This window comes from Homo sapiens, chromosome 12 (assembly GCF_000001405.40).
Source record: "Homo sapiens chromosome 12, GRCh38.p14 Primary Assembly".
Lineage (NCBI taxonomy): Eukaryota > Metazoa > Chordata > Mammalia > Primates > Hominidae > Homo > Homo sapiens.
Genome location: NC_000012.12, coordinates 107,338,482 through 107,364,701, shown reverse-complemented (window position 1 = coordinate 107,364,701; position 26,220 = coordinate 107,338,482). Strand labels below are relative to the sequence as shown.

The window sequence follows — 26,220 nt, the reverse complement described above, 5'->3', positions numbered from 1 at the left end:
TTTCCATCAACACGAATTCATGCACCACAACTTGCTTTGGCCAATGAAGTGCAAACAGTGATTTGTGGTTTGTGATTTGTGTCGCTGCCTTCAGAAGTGTTTGAAAGCCAAGGCCAGAAGAGGTGGTTCACGTCTGTAATCCCAGCAATTTGGGAGGCTGAAGCGGGCGGATCACCTGAGGTCAGGAGTTCAAGACCAGCCTAACCAATATGGTGAAAGCCCATGTCTACTAAAAACATAAAAATCAGCCGGGTGTGGTGGTGTGTGCCCTGTAGTTCCAGCTACTCAGGAGGGCTGAGGCAAGAGAATCACTTGAACCCGGGAGGCAGAGGTTGCAGTGAGCTGAGATCACGCCACTGCACTCCAGCCTGGGGGACAGAGCAAGACTCCATCTCATTAAAAAAAAAGAAAAAAGAAAAAAGAAAAGTATTTGAGAGCCAGTAAATAATTCTCCATAATCTATTTTCCTTTTGCAGCAAGAATGGAAGCATGTTGATATGAAGGGGCTGTAAAATTGACACAGCAGGGAATATGTCAAGCCAACACATGGAGGGCAACTGTCTGGGGTCACTGGCCCTTCAAAGGAATCTGCATGAGTGACAAGTACACATTGGTTGCATTCAACCTCTGAGATTTGGGATTTGTCTGTTACTTCAGCATAACCCAGCTTATCGTAACAAAATCCTCACAATAACTCTATGACAGGGGTGCTGTTGTTAACCCCACTTTGCAGAAAAGAAACTAAAGCAAAGAAGAGTTGGGTAACTTGCCTAAGATCATATAGCTAGAGGGTACAGCCAACTGTGAGCCTCAAGAGTTAGGACTCCAGAATCCACACTCTTAATCAGTATCCTGTATTTCCTCACTCACACTTTTACCAATCAGATATACTAATGCATAAATATGTAGGTCTTCCAATTTCTTAGTATACCTTAGCCAATCTTTAAAGAATAAGAAAATTATCACGACATGTAATTTTTAAAATGCCAAAATTTCTTGCTTTAAAAAATAGAAGAAAAAACAGCCTAGTTTCAGCTTATATGGCAATTACAACTAAAAATGGGTTACAACAGAGGTGGCTGCTCTGTGGGGAATTGCCTAGAACAATGGAAAACCGCTTAAAGAAAAACTCTGTTTCTCTTGCTTTACTCAGTTTCTTAGTTTACACCCTAAAGGGCAACAGACACAATTAAAAGTTTAATTAGTGTTCTCATCCTCCCCTCCCAAATTATATGTTTTCTTTCTAATCAAAAATTATTTCTTTAACAGATTCATTGTTTTCTCCCTAAATTAAAGCAGATCCTTAATGAGGCACTGCAATCCTTAAGTCAAAATGGAATCATCAGAAACCTCACTTTGTGAACTCAAGTGTGTCTCTCTTAGTTCTCTAAGAAGCAAGGACACTTGTCAAGTCCTCTCTGTTGTGTGCAGTCCATCATAATTGCTGCTCATGGTAATTTAAAACACATGGTGAAGTGGTTCTTTCAAAAGCAATTAATGAATTTCATGGGAACAAGGCTGGGCAGAAGGCCTGCCCCAACGCAGTGAGGGGCATGCCATTTCAACCCGGGGACAATGACAAGCTGGAAGTCTGGCCTTTTAGCTGGATCTTCCTCTAAGTTTAAGGGTTATCACCCTTTCAAAAGTCTGGTGATGCTGATACGGGGAGGCAGCTTTATAATGGCTGAGTGATCTCTGGAGTCAGGCTGCCGGGATTCAAATCCCAGGTCCTCTACGTACTAGCTAGGTGAATTAGGACAGGATCCTTAATTCTCTAACCCTTAGTTTCCTCATCTACAAAATGGAAATGGACAGAATATCCAACTCATTGTTAGAAGAATCAAAAGAAAAGATGCATGAAAAATGTCTAGCGTAGTGCTCAGTACAAATTAGCTATCTTTTTTTTTTTTTAGACAGGGTTTGTTCTGTCACCCAGGCTGGAGAGCAGTGGCATGATCATAGTTCACTGCAGCCTCAAGCTCCTCGGCTCAAGCAATCCTCCCACCTCAGACTCCCAAGTAGCTGTGACTACAGGCATGTGCCAACCTGCCAGACTAATTTTTAAATATTTTTTAAAGACTGGGTCTCACTATGTTGCCCAGGCTGGTCTCAAACTCCTGACCTCAAGCAACCCCCGCACCTTGGCCTCCCAAAGTGCTGGGATTACAGGTGTGAGCCACTACACCTGGTCTACCATTTTTATTGTTATTATTAGAGAACAGTATTCCCCTCTACTGATGTTTCCTGCCACGTGGAGGGACATCCATTTGTATGACATTCCTGGCATTAGCCCCTTACGTCTTCCCTGGGGAGATGGAAGGCCTCATCTCATTAATGAGTTTGGGAAGAGAAGCTGGCAGGCATAGCTGAGCTCATCCACGCATCCTCCTTGGGAGCCAGCTACTAGCAGGAAGCAAGCATTCTGCTGATCTCCAGCATTACCATAGTTCCAGGTTGAGGTCTGCAGTTTCCTAGCACAGCTCATGAGTAGGTACTTACATCTGCTTCATTGTAGCATTCAGTATCAGGAAGCCAACTGTGGCTACACCACTAAGCCACTCTTAGTCTGTTTGGGTTGCTGTAGCAAAATATCATAGACTGAGTAGCTCAAACGACAAACATTTCTTTTTCACAGTTCTGGAGGCTGGGATAGTCCAAGATCAAGGTGCCAGCAGATTCAATGTCTAATGAGGGCTTCTTTTCTGATTCATAGATGGTGGTATTCTCACTATGTCCTAACATGTTGGAAGGGGCAAGTGAGCTTTCTGGGGTCCCTTTTTTATAAGGGCACTAATCCCATTCATGAGGATGCCACCCTCATGACCTAATTACCTCCCAAAGGCCGCACCTCCTAATACTCTCACATGGAGGAAAATTCAACATACAAGTTGAGGTGGCGGGGTGGGACACAAACCTCCAATCGATAGCAGCCATGTTCTACAAAGCAGCCTGTATTAGTAATACAAGCAGCATTTCCATCTCTATCTCCCTGACCTGCCCCCAGTCTACATCAGCTATATCAGAACTAGTGTAGAGAAAGGAGGTATTATTTATCAGATCCTCTCAAACCTCAATGGTTGTCACTGCAACCTTTCTGGGGGGCAATCAAAGCCTTTTATGAACTGGGGGATCAAATCCAGCAATTCCACATTTAGGAATTTATCCTCGGGATATAATCAATCATATACGAAAAGTTACGTTGCAGAGTAATTTACTCCAGACTGTAATTTGAACTGAAAAATGAGAAACAACTAAATGTCCAGTATTACAGAAGTGAACACAAAACATCATGCAACCATTTTAAATGATGCTGTCAAAGAGCGTATCACGACACGTAAGGACACTCATAATCTGACAAATGAAAAAAGCAGGCACAGAACAGTATGTGCAATATGATTCTATCTTGTAAGGAAAAAACGTAAATGCATAAAAACATTGGGAAATGCTATAATACATCAAGTTGTTAGCAGTGTTTAGCTCTAGATGGTGGGATGATGGGTCAGTTACATTTTTTCCTTTCATCACTTATGTGAATGCTCTAATTTTCTCTGATGTACATGTAGTCAGAAATATGAAAAGAAGGTATTTTTTATTTCTCAAAAAGCCAGGTGAGGCCAGGTACAGTGGCTCACACCTGTAATCCCAGGGGCTACTCCTAAAGTGCTGCTTTGGGAGGCCAAGGCAAGAGGATCTTTTGAGCCCAGGGGTTTGACACCAGCCTGAGCAACACAGTGAAATCCTGTTTCTACAAAAAAAAAAAAAAAAAAAAAATTAAATTAAATTAGCTGGGCATGGTGGCGCATGTCTATAGTCCCAGCTACTCAGGAGGCTGAGGAAGGAGGATTGCTTGAACCTGGGAGGTGGAAGCTGTAGTAAGCCATGATCATGTCACTGCATTCCAGCCTGGGCAACAGAGCGAGACCTTGTTTCAGAAAAAATACAAAAAGCCATGTACCCAGTGACTAATGGAGAGAACTCCTTTGGTGAGCACAACCTTCGCTTGTTGCCTTCCAATGGGCCTGGCTCCCCTTTGGAAACAGAGCCATTAGGTAAATAGGACTGTGCATCTTCCCTGACTTTGCCAGTTAAAGGCTGATTGCTCAGACTCTACTCTGAAACAAGTCAGGGCAGGGTTGTGTTGGAGCTTGGGGCACTTGTGGGACAGTCATTGCTGGCTGGGGAGGGGAGGTGGTGACCAAAGCAGGGAGCTTAGAATAGCCTAGAGAAAACATTCAGGAAATGGGAACCTGGGATTTTGGGGTCTTCGCTGCCTACTGGTGAAAGTCCCAACTGCTCAACATCTTACATCTTACCCCACTGGCTGGGCTCCAATCCAGCAAAACTCTTGCTGTCCCCCAGATGGTCCATACCCTAATCCCTCAAAGCCCCTGATGAGCTGTTTCTTCTCCTCACCCTTCTCCAACCACTTACTATCTCTTTCTGATGGACTCCTATTCATCCTGCAAAGCCCAGCTCAGCTATCACCTCCCCTGGGAAGCCTTTCATTACCTTCATTCCCATTGCATATTGTTCAGACATTGATTATATCAGTGACCATATAATGTAACAACTATTTAGTTATGTGACTTATTCTTACCAGCATGGGGTTTCTCTGAGAGCAGGAACTATCTCTTATCACTGGATTTTATAACTCAGCATAAGTTGGGCACGTGGTGGGCACCTGATAAAGTTCTGAGGTAGGAAGAAAAGAAAGGAATGATGACAGGAAGAGAGAGAAGAAGAGAGGGAGGGAAAATAGGAAAGTAAGGGAAGAGATAAAATTGGCAATAACCCTGGTGTCAAACTGGTGCCCAAACCATAGGCTGGCAGCTGACGATGAAAGGAGCAGAGGCAAGTGGAAAGGTCCCCAGCTTTGGTTCAGACTGAGGGAGGATCAAACCCCAGTCTTGGGCAAGTTACTTAAAGTCCCTGAGGCTTGGCTTTTTTGTCTGTAAAATGGGAATTTTACAGACAAAGTTTAGAAATGAGGTCTGCACAGCACCCAGCACATGGGATGCGGTCAAAACCTGAGAGCTATCATTTGGTGACTCACGGCTGCACTGAGTGCAGTCCACCAAGACAAAAACAAAGTCCTAAATAACACTCGGGCTGCCTGGTGACAGGCTGCAGTGCTCATCTCCCTAAACCTTTCATTTTAATATGACATCATGTCAGAGGCAGCTGTAATCTCTGCTATCCGGTTTCTGCTCCCTTTGGAGCCAGCACACCACCAGGATCCCCTGAATTTACCCAGCAGCAGTGTTCTTGGAGTACCCAGAGCCCTGAGCCTGGAGGCAAGACTGGAAAGGGAGCAGGTGCCTAGAAGCCCAGAGGATGCACAGCAATCTCATCTGTATCTAATTAGCAGTCATTTCTCCCTTCTAGGCCTCAGTCTTCTCATCTGTGAAATAAGACGCCTGGACCAGATGTCCTAAGGGTCTCTCCACCCTGACAGTCAATGATCCCATCTCTTGGGCATCAGCCCCACTTCCATGCCTCCTACCTTTTGTCCTCACAGTTGCCCAGCCCTCAATTTGAGCACAGGCACCACGTCTGACTTTTTTTATTAGTATGAATGTCAACTTCCAGATGCTGAGATGACAGCATTTCTTAGGATCAGGAGGTCAGGTCAACTCTGACACCCCTTCTGTCCCATGCCACACCTGCTGCTGCCCGCAACCTGCCAGAACATAAGATGGGACAGCAGACTCTTCGGGGGTAGTCAGGCCTGGCCTGGATGCTGCAGAGAGATGGCTCCCACATTTTAGTGGGTTTCAGAATCCTAGGAGGCCTCCTTAAAATAGACGGTGGAGGCCGAGCAGTGGTTCATGCCTGTAATCCCAACACATTGGGAAGGCGAGGAGGGTGAATCACCGGAGGGTGGATCAAGACCAGCCCGGTCAACATGGTGAAACTCCATCTCTACTAAAAATACAAAACTTAGCTGTGTGTGGTGGTGTGCACCTGTAATCCCAGCTATTCAGGAGGCTGAGGCAGGAGACTCACTTGAACCTGGGAGGCGGAGGTTGTGGTGAGCCAAGATGGTGCCACTGCACTGCAGCCTGGGTGACAGAGTGAAACGCTGTCTTGGGAAAAAAAAAACAAATAGATGGTGGACCCCACCCCCAGAGTTTCTGATTCACTGGGTTTGGGGTGGTTTAGGGACCACAGTTTGAGAATCATTACTTGAGACAGGATTTTAAACTCCACCCCATTACCTGTCTGAACTTATATCCTCCACTTTCCCCTCCGCAATGCACTCCAGCAGGCCTCCTCACTCTTCTACAAACACACCAGACACATTCCTACTTCAGTGCTTTTGCACATGCTGTACCTGCTGCTTAGAAAGCCCTTCTCCAGGTATCTGTGGAGCTAATTCCCTAACTTCTTTGAAGGTCTACTAACATGCCACTTTCTCCTGCCACCCCAGCAAAAATCACAGTCTCCCAATGCATATATCCTCATTCCCTGGTTCATTTTTCTCTGTAGCACTTATCCCCACCTAACAAGCTATATATTTTATATAACAGATTGCATTTATTTGTGTCTTTCCCCCTCCACCACTAGAATGTGGATTCCACTGAGGGCAGAAGATTTTGTCTGTGCTATTTACTCCTGGACCCCAGAGTACTGTCTGGTTCATTGTAGGCAATTTAATATTTGCAGGAGAAAGAGAGAGAAGAACAGAAGGAGAAAGGAAAGGGAAGGAGGGAAAGAAAGGAGGAGGAAGGAAGGAAGGAAAGATGGAATTTTGGAGACATGTAATTTTTTTAATAGTTGTAAGGGATCGACAACATGGGTGCCAACTGTGTTATTTTGCCAAATAGGGCTTTAAATGCCCAGAAATACCAACTACCATCTCTCATCCTATTAGGGCCTCGCAGGGCAGACCAGAGGCTGCTGAGCACATGTAGTCTGAGTGGACAGTGGAGTTGGGTGCTATGCAGCCCACGTGGTGCCACGCACGCTCTGAGCACCATCATTTCATGAAAGAAAGGATATTTTAGCCCCAGTAAAATATAACAGAGTAACAGAGAAGGGTCAGTAAGCAGATATCACTTATTTTTATTTTTTAATTTTTTATTTTTTTAGAGATAGAATCTTACTCTGTGGCCCAGGCTAGAGCACAGTGGCATGATCATAGCTCACAGCAGCCTCAAACTCTGAAGCTCAAGCAATCCTCCCACCCCAGCCTCCTGAGTAGCTGAGACTACAGGTGCATGCTACCACAAGCAGCTAATTTTTTTTAAAAGTTTTGTAGAGATGGGGTCTCCCTATGTTGCTCAGGCTCATCTCGAACTCCTGGCCTCAAGCCATCCTCCTGTCTTGGCTTCCTGAGTCTCTGAGATTACAGATTTCATTTTAAATACCAGCTCTGAAAGCCTGGGGCATTGGGTAGAGAAGGATGCTGAGGCCATCTCTGGGATGCCCACAACGGAGCAGTTGGTGGAGGTGGGAGCACAGGTGTGCTATACAGTTGCCATTCTTGCAAAATATGCCCCATAAATGCTGGGCAAACAGATAAGTGGCATTTGCCTGCTGAATGTGTCCATAATATGCTGGCTGTCTAAGAGAACAAGTACAGTGACATTTCAAGACATGACCCAATGCACAAGCAACTTCCCAAAGCTGTAATTCACGAGATTCCTCAGGGTCCTCTAAGCTCCTTGAGGGCAGAAACTTATCTTTGTATTACAGCTAACCTTCAATCAGTAGGTGTTGAGCTGATTTTCTTTTTCCTTTTTAAACTCAGAAGTTAAGTTCCAGCTTCAGTGGCTATGCCCAGATGGTCTGATTCTGAAGGACAAGAGAATTCAGTGGCATAAGCCCTGTGCTTGGCATGTAGTAGGTTCTCAGTAAACTTTAGCTGGCGGGATCACTGACAGATCTTCTGACTCATACAAATACTAACCACAGCTCTGTGGACTTGACTGTTGCTCAGTCTCTGCTGCTGCATTTGTTTCTAAAGGAGATAGTGCAGAATTTGTCTGGAGTATTGCCAGGATTTATGAGAAAGCTGGAAAAGAAGGAAAACAGCAAGTGGCACACAGGGTGGAACATTTTTAGCTAAAGAACCAGCCAGATGAGAGCTAATTTTTCCATCAGGGATCAAAGTGATGGGAAGGGCTGTATTAAGATGACGACATTCACAGTCCTATAAACCAAGAGCTTGAAACACCTGGAAGGGCTTCACACGGAGAATGGCAGGCTCCCAACCTCTCCATAGTGGTCACAGCATCATAGCTCCTAAGTACTCTGCTCCTGCGGTGCTGGGCCCCAGCTCCCAGCCAGCCTCCTCATCGTATTAAAGAGGATTCCTTCCGATCTTCTCCATAAGGAAGGGGAAGTGCATTCATTCTTCATCTTCCCCTTGATAACTCCGTTCATTCTGTCATCAATTCATTCATCATTTACCAAGTGCCCATAATGGATCTCTTATGGTACCTGGTGGTAAGGATACTAAGATGAATAAAACACAGACACAGCCTACCTATGACGAACCCATAAGCAAATCCCCGTATATCACGCCATTTCCTACCCCCAAGTGTGGACCAGCTATCGTTGTTGGGCAAAGCTGGTCTTAGGTGGTATATGGATGAACATTTTTATTGTGAGTTATGTGTTTATTCATTTGAAGGTGTAGTACAAAAAAATAAAACTAGCACATCAAACCCTCTGTGCTACAGCCTTTTTAAAATGGGACATGTTTTTGCTGAGCAAGAAATATTAAAGATGATTTTAATAAAAAACATTAGCTAAATAATAGCACAAGAGGTAGAAGTGACTTATGAAGGTGTTACACCAATAACTGAGGTTTAGGGCACACTGGTAGTAGATGAAAGCACAGACGGTGGGTTCAAAGTTACACATGGTTAAATAATTTGTTTAAAGTTGCACTGCTGATACTCAACAGCAGTGTAGTTCAACAGGGCTGCTGCATACCAGCAGTATAACTAAACAAATGATTTAACCACCTATGACCTTGATTTCTTCTTGCATAAAGTTATTATGTCTGTTTCATGGGTTCTGATATATATAATAAACCTGTTAGATGCAATTTCATTATTATTTTATATCTTTACATCATATTCTCCCTGAGCCTGTAATAGAAAGTTGGAAAATTGGAGCATTCAAGGGTGGCAGGGTGGGGGATGAGGGTGGCAGTGCTCAAAGCCCCAAGCTGCAAACCTGCCATGAAAAGATGAAAAGAGATAAGGGAACAAGAAAATGACTTTGTTTATCCGTCCAAGGAGCTTCTGGGGCTCCCTGATGAGACAGGAGACAGCTGGACACTGAAGGCTCAGGGCTCCCAGGCACCAGCTGTTCCACGTGGTCCAGTCCCCACCTGCCTCACTGGGCTGGGGCCCACACAGGCTGCTTCCCAAGAATGGCATGTCAGAGCCACGACGCAGAGAAATTCTAATCCCAGGTGGGTCTCCACCCCAGGAAGGCTCCAGCTCATAGACGGTGAGCCCAGCTCTGCAGCTCAGAGGGACCTACAAGAGGAAAAGGCGGAGTCTCCTGTGAGGCTGGCGGCCTGGGGAGACATGCGAAAGATCTCTCAAACTATAAAAAGCCCCCGCTCAGGTGAGAGAACTTGGCCTCTGATACATTTGGGCGAGGGACCCCTCAAACATTACTGGCAATAAAAGCAGGCACTCCTGGGGTAGCACATGCATGCAATGGAATGCTACTCAGCGACAAAAAAGAATGTAATCATATGGATGAATCTCAAGTACACAATACTATAGAGAGGAAGGCAGAGTCAAAAAGCTATATAATGTATGGTTACAGCCATCATATTCATCACAAGCAAATCTACAGGGTCAGAGAATAAACCAGTGAATTGCCAGGGGTTAAGGGTATATACAGGCAGACTTCACTGAGACACCACTTCACACCCACGAGGATGGCTATAATCAAAAATACAGATAATAACAAGTGTTCGGCAAGCATGTGGAGAAGTTGGAACTCTCGTACACTGCTCAGAGGACTGTAAAAGGTGCAACCGCTTCATAATAGCCAAAAAGCAGAAACAACCCAAATGTCCAGCAATTGATGGATAAACAAAACATGGTACATCCATGCAATTGAATATTATTTAGCAATAAAAAAGGAATAAGGTACCGATATCTGCTAGAAATGGATGAATCTTGAAAACATTATGATCAGTGAAAGAAGCCAGACACAAAAGACCAGCTATTATATGATTCCATTTCTATGAAATGTCCAGAATAGATAAATACATAGAGACAAAAAATAAATTTGTGGTTGCCAGGGGTAGGGCAGGGGAGAAGATAGACAAAAGGAATTGGGGGAGTATGACTGCTAAAGATTATAGGGGTTTCTTTTGGGGGCAAAGTGTCCTAAGATGGAGTGTGATGATGGTTGTACAACTCTCTGAATATACTGAAAACCATTGATTTGTATACCTTAAATAGGTGAACTGTATGGTATGTGAATTATATCTCAAGAAAGCTATTACAAAAACTAAGAGATAATAAATTATCACAAGGAGAGAAAGAATGTAAGAGGGTTTAGCTCTCAAAGAGGCAGGAGACAAGAGAATTGGGGGAAGGTTGTGGAACTATTCTGTATCGTATTTGCGGTGTTGGTTCCATGGCTCTATTACTTGTCAAAACTCAGAACTGTACAATAAAAACAGAAAAAAACACACCAAAAACTGGCCTATCCTAAACAACATTAAACATGGCTACCTTCTACTGGTCTACTAGAGCAGTGATCTCCAATCTTTTTGGCACCAGGGACCGGTTTTGTGGAAGACAATTTTCCATGGACGAGGGGAGGTGGGGGAGGGAATGGTTTCAGGATGAAACTGCTCCACCTCAGATCATCAGGCATTAGATTCTCATAGGGAATGCACAGCCTAGATCCCTCACATGCACAGTTCACAATAGGGTTCACCCTTCTGTGAGAATCCAATGTTGCCGCTGATCCGATAGGAGGCAGAGCTCAGGCGGTAATGCTCACTTGTACACTGCTCACCTCCTGCTGTGCCACTCAGTTCGGACAGGCCATGGACCCCTACTGGTCCACAGCCCAGGGGTTGGGGACCACTCTACTAGAGTAAACACCCTACTAAGCACTTTATATGCCTCAAATTATGTAATCCTTTAAGCAAACCTTTTAAGTATAATCACCCCCATTTCATAGGAGGGCAAACTGAGGTTCAGAGATGTTAAGTGATTTGCCTGGGCTCACAGCTAGGAAATGTTTTCAAAGCCAGAATTTGAACCCAGTTCTGTCTGATCCCAGATCCCATGTCAATATCCACTGTGCTCTGTCTCCCTACACAGCTGATAATCTGGAACATTCCTTGAGCATCTCTCAGTCTTTGATTGTTAACCGTCCACTTATTACCACCCCACTAGTGAGTTCCTTGACGGCTCACATGGTGTCATATGGTTCTATATCTCCCCCCCACCATGCTGGGCTCAGAGCCAGGCACTTAGTGGGTACTCCCTACATGTTTGAGCATCAGGGTATCATGAAAGAGAGGCAGGGATAATGCTGTTCAGAAACTCCAAAGAGCTGTCTACCATGACCTGAATGCCAGGGTCTCCTGACTCTTGGCCTTGAGTGTGGCCACTAAGCCACATGACCATCACCTGATGGGTCTCCTACAGTTGGATCAAGAGTCTGAGCCAGAGTTGGAGAGCTGGCAATCAAACCTAACTCTGGCTCTTTTGGTAGCCCAGGGGCAAAATACTTACCCTCTCCACAGTGTTCTTCCTCCACTTATGATTTCTGCTTTCGAAAGAACTTTCTCACCTCACCCACTCACAGGAAGTAATGAGATCCAGGTGGTTCATATAGGCCAGTGGCATCCTCAGTACTCAAACCCACTCATTCTCTCCAACCCCACTGCCTCCCCAGGTACCCCCCATCTCTTCTCTGCCCACAGCCCTGACTCTACATCCCCTCCTACTCCTTCCTCCAACAAACCCAGCAGCCAGAGAAGAGGCTGAAAAACACAGATATGATCACATCATTCTCCTGATATCAAGGATAGCACCAGCTCTTAAGGCTCCCTGATAAGAATTAGAAAAAGGCACGCTCTCACAGGTAGCCCCAGGCTCTGCACTGGGGCCCATGGCTTGGTATGTGGAAGGGCCCCCTTAGTTGGACACTCTTGTGCAAGACACAATCTGGGTAACAGCTAGCACAGCCCTGCCCTTTGATGCCTGCCCACTGCCCTGAAAACAAACATCAGTTTCCTCCCAGAGGTCTCTGAGGTCTTGCACAATGTGGTTCCTGTTTATTTCTGCATCCTCTTTTTCCTCCAGACTATTCCCTCCCCACTGCACTCTAGCCTCCATCCAGACAGTTGGCACAGCGCTCAATTCCCCAAGTGCTCCATGCGTGCCCTCCCTTTGCACAAACTGTTCCCTCTAAGTCTGGACAACTCCTGAACATCATTTGGCTCTTACCTTGGATGTCCCTCCCATCACCAGAGCCTCGCCTGACCCCACAAAGTCCTAGACAAGGTACCCACAGCACCCTGCACCTGCCTCCTAACAGCCCTCTTCACCCAGTGTCATAACAGCCTGTTGACTGGGGTATCTCTCCCCTAGACTCCAAGCTCTGAAAGGGCAGAACTGTCTGCTTAGTCACCAATATCTGGGGCACATACTTGACACAACATAGGTATTTATTAAGTGAATTAATTAATTAGTTAGTAAAGGAGTGAGTGAATGAAACAGAATGGCATGCCATTGGTAGACACACAGGATTTCATATCAGTTAAAGACTCTTCCTACCTCAGCCTGACTCATCATTTTACTGAGGAAAATGATGCCTTAGAGAAGTCCCATGATTTGCCTCAGGTCACACACAAACAGATATTAATTGGGAGAGGGTGTGTCTTAGTCTGTTTTGTGTTGCTATAACAGAATATCTGAGACTGTGTCATTTATAACAAACAGAAATTTATTTGGCTCATTGTTCTTGAGGCTGGGAAGTCCAAGATCAAGGGGCTGCATCTGGTGAGGGCCCTCTTGCTGCATCCTAACATCAGGAGAGACAGTGCAAGAGAGAGAAGGGGCCAAACTCAACCTTTTATCAGGAACCCACTCCCAAGATAACAGCGTTAATCCATTCATGAGAGCAGAGTCCTTGCATTCTAATTATCTCTTAAAGGTCTCACCTCTCAACACTGGTGCACTGAGGATTAAGTTGCCAATACATGAACCTTGGGGGATGCATTCAAATCATAGTAGGGCATTAGAAGCCAGGCCATTCCTCCATCCGCCACAGCAGGCAGAAGGAGCAGAAATACCTGTAGCCAATGGGGACACTCCCTCAGGAGAAAGTCTGATGGCAAAGTGCAGTGGAACACAATGGTAAGGCTCAAGCGTTTTGCAATCAGAAGACCTGGGGCTACTCATAAGCCAGTGCCCTCAGCAAATAACTCAAACCCTCTGGGTCTACAATATGTAAAATGGCCACCCGGATACCAACTGCATGAGGTAGGAATGAGGATCAAAACACCCTGAAAAGGTATGAAAAGCCCCTTGGCAGAGTGCCTGGCACTAACTAATCAATTAAAATTTGCTGCAAATCCTGTAATTGAATAAATGCCTTTAATAACCTTGTAGGACCCCTTTCATCCTCCCTTTCAGCCCCAGGCTTGGTTTTTTTTTCCGGTTTCCAATCTTACTAGCAAAGACCTTAGTGCTGACTCCTTCCCATCCAGCACTATGGCACAATGGAAAACTCAAACCTCACTGGGAGTTGGTTTCTCGAGGTGGCTAAAAGCAACCAAGAGGACTCCAGGATAGACTTTAGGCTTTCAGGCTTTTTAAAACAACCCTCTCCATCTAAAATATTCCCTTGCCATCTCTGGGAAAGAAGAGAGACCCTTCAGTAATGCTGTTAGACCATGTTCAATACCAGGCCACTCACTTACAAGAGAAGACAAGAATGTGTCTGGAAGATATCACCTTTTTAAAAATGTCCCCAATCTCCTCCAGCATTTTGATGCTTGGAGCTTTACCCAAAGAGATGCTTTGGAAATTTTTTAGTGTGAAGCCAGAGACACCAATTGTGTGCCTCCTATTAGATCCCTGGGTGGCACATGGGAAATTTACCCCTAGGTCTCTGGGGAAGCAGAATAATAATTTTTTTTTTTTTTTGAGACGGACTCTCGCTCTATTGCCCAGGCTGGAGTGCAGATCTTGGCCCACTGCAAGCTCCGCCTCCTGGGTTCATGCCATTCTCCTGCCTCAGACTCCCCAGTAGCTGGGACTACCGGCGCCCCCCACCACGCCCAGCCCATTTCTTTTTGTATTTTTAGTAGAGACGGGGTTTCACCGTGTTAGCCAGGATGGTCTCAATCTCCTGACCTCGTGATCCCTCGCCTCGGCCTCCCAAAGTGCTGGGATTACAGGTGTGAGCCACTGCGCCCAGCCAGAATAATGAACTCTTACCATTTTATCTGAGAAATGCACATTCCATAAAGTCAGGGAACAATATGATTTTTCCCCCCTAAATTAGTTTCATTTTATTTTTAAATGGCTTATAGAAAATTAGAAATAATGAACTGTCTGTTTCCTCTACAACAAAGGTTATCCTTTGCCTTGAGAGGGAAGGAAACAGAGTTCAGCCTCCTGGATTACTCAGTGGAAAAGCAAACTTGAACCATCTGTATTACTTAATGTGCTAGCATTTTGTGCTCTCGCATTGTCAATCTCACAGTCACCGGGGTATTTGACAAGCCTGCTAGAAATCAGCAAGCATGGGTCTGGATTCTTAGGAGCTCAAATGGAGATGTCTATGTTTCCACAGCACTCTGTCTGTGCCTCTGCCATCAGTCAAATTGCCCTTCAGTGTTTGATTAGCCTGTGCTCCTCCAAGAAAGGCATTTTTTAAATTAATCCTTATCCCTGGGTAGAGTTGCAGTTAAAATATAGGATGCACAGTTAAAGTTGAATATCAGATAAACATGCAATACTTGGGACATACTAAAATAAAATTCCTCATTTATCTGACATTCAAATTTAATTGCTGTCCTGTCTTTATTTGCTAAATCTGGCAATCCTATCTCCATAACTTCTCATCAAATCCTCACAACTCTTAAAAATAGAGATTGTACCCATTTTACAGCTGAAGAAACAAAGACTCAGAGAGGTTAAATAACCTGCTGAGATTACACAGTACATGGCAGAGCTGAATTTGAACCTCTGCCTTTCCATCTGCATGCTCAATGTCTGGGGAATGAATGAATAAATGAATGAACGAATTCAGAAGATGAGCAACTGGAGAACCTGTTATGCACCTTACTCTGAGTCATCATTCCCCGTCTGGAATCCCAGCACACTTCCTTATTAGTGAAATTGCTCACTGTGATGATGCCGCCCCACATTCCTCCTCTTGGGAAAGGGCCAGCTTCCAGAGAACAATGATGTTATAGATGAGGCCAGGCTCTCCCTAAGTGAAAACAAATCTCCCAATGCCAGGAACAGCTGGGGCTGAGGCGTCAGGACAGAACAGGCTGCTCATCCTGAGAAGCTACCTCTCCAGAGCTCAAGGCATGGAAGCTGACCAGTCACCACCTGCAGCTGCCCTCCTCTTTGGCTATGAGTGAGTAGAGGGCACTGAACTCTAGCTGTGTGACCTCAGAAAGCCTTCAGCGTGACAAGGCAGGTTTACAGGTACAGAGAGAACCACAGTGCAAGATGGAAGCTAAGTGCCAAGACAGTTCAAATATGCTCATGCCCAAGGTCTTCTCACAAGCTGTTCCCTTTGCCTGGAACTCTGCCTAGGGTCCCCCCCTCACTGCTGCTCAAGTGTCACCTCCCAAGGGAGGCTTTCCCAGGTGCCCTGTCTAAAATAGCATCCCTGACTAAGCTCTACCTTATCACTCAGTACTACCTGAAATCGCCTTCCATATTTCAATGTTTATTGCTGGTCTCTGTCACAGAACATAGGACCTTGAACAGATTTCTCTTTTTTATGAGACAGGGTCTCACTCTGTCACCCAGGCTGGAGTGCAGTGGCACAATCAAGGCTCACTGCAGCCTCAACCTCCCAGTCTCAAGCAATCTTCCCACCTCAGCCTCTCGAGTAGCTGGGACTACAGGGGCACACCATCACACTGGCATAATTTTTTAATTTTCTTTGTAGAGATAGGGTCTCACTATGTTGCCCAGTTTGGTCTCAAACTCCTGGGCTCAAATGCTCTTCTGCCTTGGCCTGGGATTGGAGGCATGAGCCACTGCACCAGGCGTGAACAGGTCTCTTCTGACTGCTTCTGTTTTCTTCACCACCACATCCTCAGCACCTAGAATACTGTCTGGCATATACATTAGGTGGTCAGGACACATTTACTGAATGAAAGACTGAATGGAAGTCTCTGTTAAAATATGTATGTGTGTGTGTGTGCGTGTGTGTGTGTAGATATGAGTATATACATATATGTATATGTGTGTATATATATATTTCTATATACATATGTAAATACATACATATGCATAGATACCCACATCATATATACACACACGCATGCACATATTAGTACATATAAATAAAAGTAGTGAAGTATGGGGAGACTTTCTGAGTAAGGCCTTCATGAGGACCCCACCACCACGCCTTCCCACCTGCAATTCTCTCTCCCTAAAGTGCACAAACTATTCATCTTTCAAAACCCATCTTTCAACCCCTGGTTGCTCTTTCTTTTGAAGCCTTCTGTACCTTCTCCCCACCCCAGCCCACTGGCAAGCCTGTTCCTCCATCTCTGGGCTCCTCCTTCAGCTTGCTGGTATTTCATTGTTGTGGTTACCACCCTGCATTATACTTTACTAAACTGCACATCTGGATGTCCTTTGTGGCCAACTGCATTTTCCAAAGAAGTAAACAATTGATCCCTTTGCACATGCTTTTTGGCAGGGTGACCTTGTGACTCTCCCATCAAGGGGTGGGATTCTTCCCACTCTCTTGAAAGTAGGCAACCCTGTGACTGCCTTGACCAATGATGAAAGTGACACTGTCAGTTTTGAACGTAGCCCTTAACTGACTTGGGAGTTTCTAACTCCTGACTCTTGGAAGCCAGCCATCATGTAAAAACAGCCATTACCCTGATACCTCCATGCTGTAAGAAGCCCAGGCCCTGTGGAGAGACCTTAGAAGACAAGACGCAATGTAGAAAGAGGGGGGTCGAAACGCATCAAGGCACCAAGTGTATGAGTAAGAAGCCATCTTGGGAGCCACATGCATCACAGATGAACTGCCAGCTGAGCCCTTCCTGGGTTCCTGATGCACACAATTAAATGGTTTCTTGAAGCCAATATGTTTTGGGGTAGTTGTTATGCAGCAATAGTTAACTGAAAGATTCTCAAAGGTAGGAATTCACCCTGCCTTCATATTTAACTTTATATTTATATTTATATCTCATATAAAGATATTTAACTTTATATCTCCTAGCCTAGAACAGTGTGAGGCTCATAGCTGGCTCAATAAAATTTGGCTGAATGTAATTGGTTTGCACTAAATTAAATATTCCCCAAGTTAGGAGGACTACTTCAGTAAATACAGTCAAAATGTAATCAGCTAAAGCTACTCCGTGGCCCATGTGAAAAATGGATGAGTAGCATTTATATGGAGATTTGCAGAATAATATATGCTGCTCTAAATGGAAGACTTTTACAGGGATGAAATAAAACTATGATTACCCCCAGTAAGTTTTAAGAATACTGTTGGTTATAACAGTCACTGTAAAAACATCACATAAAAATACCCCAGTTTTGTGCCTAATACTAGGAAGCCCTGCCCTGTTTCTTCATTCCCTGCAGGACCAGAATGGAGATGTGATACTTTGGCCTCTGCTATTTACCCGCAAGCAGTCAGAGACAGAGTCTGGCAAGCCAAGGTCTCTGTCTCCAGTAAAAATTGTACTTTTTATTGACAAAAAATTAAGAGCAGACTCACCGGGCATGGTGGCTCACGCCTGTAATCCCAGCACTTTGGGAGGCTGAGGCGGGCAGATCACAAGGTCAGGAGATTGAGATCATCCTGGCTAACACAGTGAAAACCCATCTCTACTAAAAATACAGAAAATTAGCCAGGCGTGGTGCCACACACCTGTAGTCCCAGCTACTTGGGAGGCTGAGGCAGAAGAATTGCTTGAACCCGGGAGGCAGAGGTTGCAGTAAGCCAAGATCACACCACTGCACTCCAGCCTCGGTCACAGAGCAAGCCTCTATCTGAAAAAAAAAATTAAGAGCAGAATCAATTTGAAGGGCTTCCTGTTATGTGATGGTATTTCTTGTAACGAAGAGCTATAGCTAGAGGATGCCTTCTCTGGACCATCACAAGGGGCCATTTCCTGGCCCTGGATGCTTCTCCTCCTAGATGCCCCCTAACTTCCTTCAATGGGGGTGCTTCCAGAAAGTATTCTCAGTTTAGCCCCCATCCCAATCTAGACTTTCCATCTTCCCCCACATCACAAACTCAGAAGCAACAGGGACTTGAGGACTACCTATTTCAGCAGCCCCCAAAAGAATCCCTAATCAGGAGCATGCTGTTTTCACTACCAGATTCCTTCCAGTGTGCAGGGCAGCTGGATGGGAATGAGCACAAGCTCCGCTCCACGCCACTCTCAACAGCCCCAGGTGTGAGCCCTGATTGTGCTACTTAATGACAAAGAGACCTTGGACAAATCCATGGACCTTCCTGGGTCTGCTTCCTCACTGGTGCAACAAGGCTAAAATGAGTTCATACCTCATGAGACCATTATGAAGATTAATTGAGATAATGTCTTGTAAAACTTTTGGAATCCAGTAACTATTGAACGAAAAGAGCAGCCATCTCCTTACGTCCAAGTAGCTTCTCTAGCTCGTCATTCATTTCCTTCTACCCACTGTTTCCTCTTAAGATCCCAGGCTTTGTCCCACCTCCCCACCCACCAAGCCCTACTGCCAACACCTGCCCACAGTCAGTTCAAATTTTGGGGAAAAATACATTGCAGAATGGGCATTTTTTTTTGTCTCCCTAGGTTTCCTTGTTTTCCTTTGGGGAATTCAGTCCCTCCTCCACTCTAGTGTGGTCTGGGAGCAGCTGATCTAGCCCCAGCTCCAGGGTTGGGGGTGTCCTATCTGGCCCAAGCCAGTCAGCATGGGCAGCCCCTGATGCCAACCCTGTCCCTGGGCTTCTCTTGTACATGAACCAATAATCCCCCCCTTCTGCTTAAGTGAGTTTGGGTTGGATTTTTTTTTTTATCACTTGCAACTGAAAAGAATCCAAAGATACCACACCCATTTTATCCAAAGAAAAAACAAACCTCCTTCCAATTCTCTTTGCTGGGCAAATCCTATAAAACTCTCCCTTCATAGAGAGCTCCAAAGCCAGAGAATGGAGCATCCACTTGCCTTATGAATAGCCTTGGAGATCCATTTTTCAGGCCCATCAAGGTGTCTACTTATTTGTAAAGAGTCTTCTGCCTTTATCACTCTTTTTTTGCCCATCTATTCAACCCAGAGGTAGCCCATGATCTTATATTTCATGTTTATCTCTATGCACTAAATACCCTGAAAAGAGAACACTTTCAGGTGGGTGAAAAGGGGCTCTCCTTCCAGGTAGGAAGAACCTCCTGAGCAACAGGAAAAGCAAGGGTGGTATCCAGCTCCATATCTCACAAGCCTGGATGAAGGACTAGGCTGGAAAATGGTTATCTTCCACTGGAAATAAACAAGGTCTGGCCATAAAGTTATGAGGTTGAGTGCTTTCTAATCCAAGGCTAATTTCTTTTAGAGCCCTTTTACCCACCAGGGTGATTTTAAAAGCAAATCAATCATTTTTAAAAATCAGAATTCACTCTTATTAATCAAGGCACTATATTAAAACCTACAGAAATATTAAATTAAGTCTGTGTTAAAGCTCAAAGTTGCATGGACTCAAGATTATGTTTATTATCATGCACTAGGGACAATGAATTTAATACAGAGGCTGTTCTGGCTCTACCTCTGCTTTAACAAATCTTAATGTGATCTGGAAAATGCCAAGAACATTCCTCAGTGGGAGGTGATGAGCTGGCCATGACAAAGGTGTCAGCCATCATCCCTCCACGAGGTCAATTGTAGTTCAGTGATTTGAGGGACTCAAGGTGAATCATTCAACAAACACTTGACTGGGGATGAGGTCTTAGAGAAACCTGACCTCTGATGTCCTGGGATTCACTGGCAGAAAACTGCAAAGCTGGGGCTGGAAATATCCACTGCCTTCTCTGACAGGCACTTACTCTGCCTGAAACACAATAGGTCATTAACTAGCTACGATAAGTACTATTGGTTGGCAACCCAACCAATTTCCCTTCTCTCCCTCTTCTTCACTAACATGATTGGGTGGTAGTGGTGGGAACACTGTTTGGGTAAAGAACTAAACTTCTTAGCCTCCCTTGGGGATATGGGTGCTGGGGGACTAAGTGCTGGCCAAAGAGATATAAGAAGAATTATTAGGTGGACATCCAGTGACGCTGCTTAAAAGAAAGACTGACTCCACTGGTAGGTACCCTTTTTCCTACCCTTTGTCACTCTTCATTCTGCTTAAAATGCACATGTGATGACTGAAGCTGTAGCAGCCATATTGGGACCATGAGGCTACCTTGAGACTGGAATCCATGTGTTAAGGCTGGCAGGGCAGAAAGACAGAAGGAGCCTGAGTTGATGCAGAACTACAGATAAGGTTTAGCTCTCTGTCCCCACCCAAATCTCTCTTGAATTGTAATCCAAATTGTAATCCCCAGGAGTCAAGGGAGGCACCTGTTGGGAGGTGATTGGATCATGGGGGTGGTGTCCCCCATGCTGTTCTCATGATAGTGAGTGAATTCTCACAAAATCTGATGGTTTTAAAAGTGGCACTTTTTCCTGCGCTCACACTTCTCTCTCCTTCCTGCTGCCTGTGAAGACGGTGCCTGCTTCCCCTTCGTCTTCTGCCATGACTATAAGTTCCTGAGGCCTCCCGAGCCATGCAGAACTATAAGTCAATTAAACCTCTTTCCTTTATATATGTCTCAGTCTCAGGCATTTCTTTATAGTGGTGTGAAAATGGACTAATATAATAACCATCCCAGCTTTGGACTGCCTACCTGCCTTGGACTGTTGTAAAAGAGAAAACCAACTCCCTACCTTGTTTAAGCCACTGTTAGTTTGGTCTCTGACACTAGCAGTCAAACACATTGTGGCATCGGATTGGCCAATACTTTCAAATCAAAGTTATTATTGGTCAAATATGGCACATTCACCTCCAGCCACCTTTAGCAATCAGAACACTCTATAAGTGAATACATGCATTTGTGCTCTAACTGAGGGAGTATTGACCAAGAGGCATCTTCATTGAGCAGAGAGCAGGAAAGAGATACAAAAGAACTGGAAGAGGTCAGACATGGTGGCTCATGTCTGTAATCCCAACACTTTAGGAGGCCAAGACAGGAGGATTGCTGAGCCCAGGAGTTCGAGACTGGCCTGGGCAACATAGGGAGACCCTATTTCTATAAAAAACCAAAAAAACAGCCAGGTGTGGTGGTGTGCACTTGTGGTCCCAGCTACTTGGGAGGCTGAGATGGGCAGATCCCTTAGGCCTGGGGGGTCGAGGCTGCAGTGAGCCATGATCGTGCCCCTGCACTCCAGCCTGGGTGACAGAATGAGATCCTGTCTCTAAAAATAAAAATTTTTAAATAAAAGAACTGAAAGATTCAAACCCTGCCCTAGAAGAGCTTACAGTCCAATGGAGGGGCAGGTCATAGCCACAGCAAAACACTTTCAACAGCAAAAGGACATACATGACCCATTGCCCAAGCTGTATTACAGACAGCAAGCAAAGCCTACGGGGGTTCAAAGGAGGAAAAAATGCTTGGATGGGAGCAACCCCAAGAAATACGTAGGGCTTGATTTGCAGCAGTGAAGCTGACAGCAGGGGAAGAGAGGAGCCATTCCAGGTGGGCAAATGACTTGAGCAGAAGCTTGGAATTAGGAATGACAGGGTTCATGGAGAGAATGGATGCTCTGCCTAGGAGGAGCAGAGGTTCCACTGAGGCAGAATTAGAGAGTGCCAGGATGAGGAGCTTGGACTTGACCCTGCAGTCAATAGGACAATAATAATATCAGAGCAGGGCTGATCTGGGGTGTTCAGGAGGGATGAACTTGGATGAGAGTAAGGCGAGGCTCCGATAAGAAGGTTGACCATGGTCCCTAGGTTCTTGAGATGTTCTGAGTGGGGATGAAACAGGACAGCTCTGGCCAGTGTGGGAGATGGGATAACAGTGACAACAGCATCACCATGGTCCTTTCAGCTGAGAGCTACTCTGGACAGCCAGAGGGACAGAGCAAGCCAACTACACCTCAGCTCTCTTCTCCCTTTCCTTCTCCCCATCCCCTAGGGAGCTGCTTGGATGGAAGCTTCAGTATCCATGCCCCTTCCACCACCCCCTCCCCCCAAAAAAATGAGGAATATGAATCTGGCATCCATCTGCAAAGAAGGATGCTAGCCCTGGACCCAACGGAAACTCAGGATTCCAGACACAGGATCACAGTGGCTTAGAAAGGAAGGGAACTGTCACCAAGAAGTCAAAAATTCTAGGACAGCTTAGTCTCCTGGAGGTCTCCCGTGTTAGGCTGTTCTTGCACTGCTATTAATAAATACCTGAGACTGGCCAATTTATAAAGAAAAGAGGTTTGATTGGCTCATGGTTCTGCAGGCTGTAGAGGAAGCGTGATGTTGGCATTGCTTGGCTTCTGGGGAGGCCTCAGCAAGTTTCCAATCATGGCAGAAGGTGAGTGGGGAGCAGGCATGTCACATGGCAAAAGCGGAAGCAAGCAAGACCAGGGAGGGAGGAGGGAGGTGCCACACCCTTTTAAAAGGCCAGATCTCATGAGAACTTGCTGTGGTGAAGACAGTGCCAAACCAACAGGGATCGAAACACCTCCCACCAGGCTCACTTCCAACACTGGGGATTACATTTCAACATGTGATTTGGGCAGGGACAAATATTCAAACTATACCAGCTCCTCAGGGATCACTTCACCCACTGGTTTTCAAACTGGGTTCCACTGAGTAGCATCCACTGATGCTGATCATAGCCAAACAATTCTGCTTTTTAATGTTTCACATATTGAGGTTCCCAGAAAGACTGCACACCAAACAAAGGGGTCACTATTAAGTCTGATAACCACTGACAGCTCAACTCCCTCCCTCACTTAACAGCTGAAGAAACTGAGGCCCATGGAACCCTGCACTCTCTTTCTTCTTACCCCCCTCAGTCTTGCACTGACTTGGTCAATGTCTACATTTCCTGGACAGCCTCACGGGGTTGGGGCAGTGGCATTCTCATTCACTGCTAGACTCCCCTGCCAGGGAGTCTAGTCAACCTCCAGGTTGACCCTCAGCTCCTGGGACAAAGCCTGTGTCACAAGGTAGGTGCTTCACAAGTCCCTGCTACAGTGCTATGGAAGAACGTGGATGAAGACAGCACAGTGTGTCAGGAGCAAAACCATGATTACTCAATCCCTGTCTGCACCTGCAGCTTGGTGTGGCCCAGCTATTGCGGGAGACAGCACTCAGGGGTATGCTAACAGTGCATCCTTGGCTCTTCTGCTCATAGAGCTCCCAGCAACCTGTGACAGGGCTTGGAGTCTGTGCCCAGCCCTTCCCACGGCCCGCTGTTCGCAGCCTGCATTACATCTCACATCATCCTAGATTTGAGTAATGGTGTGTGTTTCTCAAGGGCACCAACTGCATTGTATTCATCTTTGTCTCTCCAGCACCAGCCTGGCCAAGAATGGGCACTCAGCACCGCCCTTCTGTTTCTCTTCACCAAATTCCTAATTTTTGTAAGCATTTGGCAAATTTTCGAAAACATACCTGGGGATGTGCAGATTGTAAAGTGACTTAGCTAGAAAAGGGCTCCATCCTGGGAGATCTCTGGTGAATTTCCCAGGAGGGTTTGTTTGTTTCTTTGTTTGTTCCTGCCTGGTGCTTATTTTTTTATTCTCTCTAAAATAGGATGGGTGGCCACTTAATCGATTCTCCAAGGGTTGCATCGATGCTTCATGTAGCTGTAGGAAAAGGGACCAGTGAACTGAAAAAAAAACGAGGAGTCACATCACAGGTACCAACTGTTTTTCCCTTCCCCACCTCCAGATTCTGAACACAAATATCTTCCTATTCAGATTTATAGACAACACACAGCACCATCCACAGGGAAGGGGGAAGAGATGGGAGAAGGCTCACTGTTTGGTTTTGTTTAAATTTTGTACTAGATTCTATTTATTGTTAACAACTGCATAGCCCTGCACAGTGTGAGTGTGTATGCATTTGAGAATGTGTGAGATGCCTCAGTCAGAGAATGAAACTCTCAGAGTTACCTTTCTGAGGCCAGTCTCAGCTGGGTTTCTTTATGTCAAAAGCACAAGACCATTTTTTCTCCACTAAGCAACTCAGTTCTTGGGCCTTCTTGAGCGCAAGAAAATATCCAACACTTCAAAAATTATCAACTCCAACACATGAAAAGAAAACTGCAAAGCCATGATTAATAACTATGTAAATGGCTAACATGCTTAATGTGAAGTCAGCATAATTAATTGTTGACTTCAGTATTCACAACAATTTCGTTGGGGGGCAAAAAAAAAAAGTCTGGTTAGATGTTTCTCATTTTGGAAGAATTCCTGAGGATATAAAATAATAGCAGATAAATCAGAGCCCTCATAAAATAAATATGATATCAACACAGCAAAAACCATTCCACAAAAGCAAAATCATTACAAATTTTTTTCTAGCCAGGAATATAAAGGTAATGGTTTGTGTTTGAGTGTGACATGGGATGGGGCCTCCATAGATAAGAAGGCTGGAGTCTATGAAGATGTTAGAATTGCCTACATGACAGTTGGCAAATTAGTTATCAAAACTCAACCCACACTCAGAAGCTATGGCAGGCGTCCAATTTCTGATAATTCTGCTGAGTTGATATAGGCACATGCACATGCAACATACACACACACACACACACACACACGTGCATGCACACACACAAGCTCCCTGTTTCTCGGGCACTACTATAGCAACAAATACTTCCCATTGCTTAACCCAAATGAAAACACACTGAAGCTTCCTTTGATATACGATGTACAATCAATAACCTCCCACTTCTCCTTTCATAGAAAACTCATTTTAAGGAAAACATGATGACTGATTAAGATCCATAACAGAGGCCCTGTGAGCAGAATACATAAAGATTTTGATTGTGACAATCTTTCAGTGGAAATCTTTTAGCAGAGTAAAAACACAAAAGGAAGGGAACCTGTCTAGAGGCATGTCTCTCACCGGGCAGTCCTCATCTTTTCAAGAATCCGGTGCAACACAGAATGGCCTCTTTTGGGTGGGTGCGGAACAGATTGATAGCTGAGCCGAGGCATGTGGGGCTTAAGCCTCTGCACTTGTGTTTTCCTTCAGAAAGAGCTTGATCGGGCTGGGCCACAGGTTCCTCCAGAAAGGCCCACTATGGGAAAGGTGCAAGGAGCCCAGGACGGTGGCCCATTCTTTCTGGGCCTGTGGGATGTTGACTAAGGGGTTATCCGACCTGCAGAACTAGCAAGAGTGCAGATAATCTACAAGTTACATCCTCCTCTCCTTTTGAGTGGACATTCCATGGACTTCCTAACTTTCAAGTAGCAGCATCTGAGGTCTAAATCAAAATGCTCTGATAAGCTGAGTGCTGTGGCATACCCCGTAGTCCCAGCTACCCTGGAGGCTGAGGCAAGAGGATGGCTTGAGCCCGGGAGTCCAAGGCTATAGAGCACTATGATTATACCCGTGAATAGCCACTGCACTCCAGCCTGGACAATAGAGAGAGACTCTGTCTCTTAAAAATTAATTTGTTAATTAATTAAAATGCTCTGGGTGGCTCTCGAGGAGCCTCATCACCTCTGATGACTGCTGATAAGAGGGTAGGGGCCAGGGTCAGCCACAAGGCTTCATAATGGCCTTAGAGGCTACAGGGGACAGAACAACTTCATATGTCCAAGAGTTGGGGGATTATGTCCCCCAACATAACGTATTCCTTGGGTTGGTTGGATTATGTCCAAGGCTGAGTCAACCTCCATGTCCTCATTAGTCTTCAGATGAGACTTCCCAACCCTGGAATATTCAGTCCAGGTCCTCAAGACATTTGAGCACTAACAATGTGCCCAGAAAGAGCACTGGAGTGGAATCAAA

The 26,220-nt window shown here is 45.3% G+C and overlaps 1 protein-coding gene across 5 annotated transcripts in view, besides 1 other annotated feature; it reads right to left on the bottom strand.

Annotated features, from left to right (window-relative positions):
• The window catches only part of ABTB3 (ankyrin repeat and BTB domain containing 3), a 341,209-nt gene that overhangs the window by 294,941 nt on the left and 20,048 nt on the right, over nt 1-26,220 (bottom strand). The window lies entirely within an intron of this gene.
• Nucleotides 456-750: a silencer, noted in NCBI's record as "tiled region #10758; K562 Repressive non-DNase unmatched - State 24:Quies". NCBI's record gives its function as "represses a minimal TATA promoter and a strong SV40 promoter by Sharpr-MPRA in K562 cells {active_cell/tissue: K562}" and the evidence as "EXISTENCE:reporter gene assay evidence [ECO:0000049][PMID:27701403]".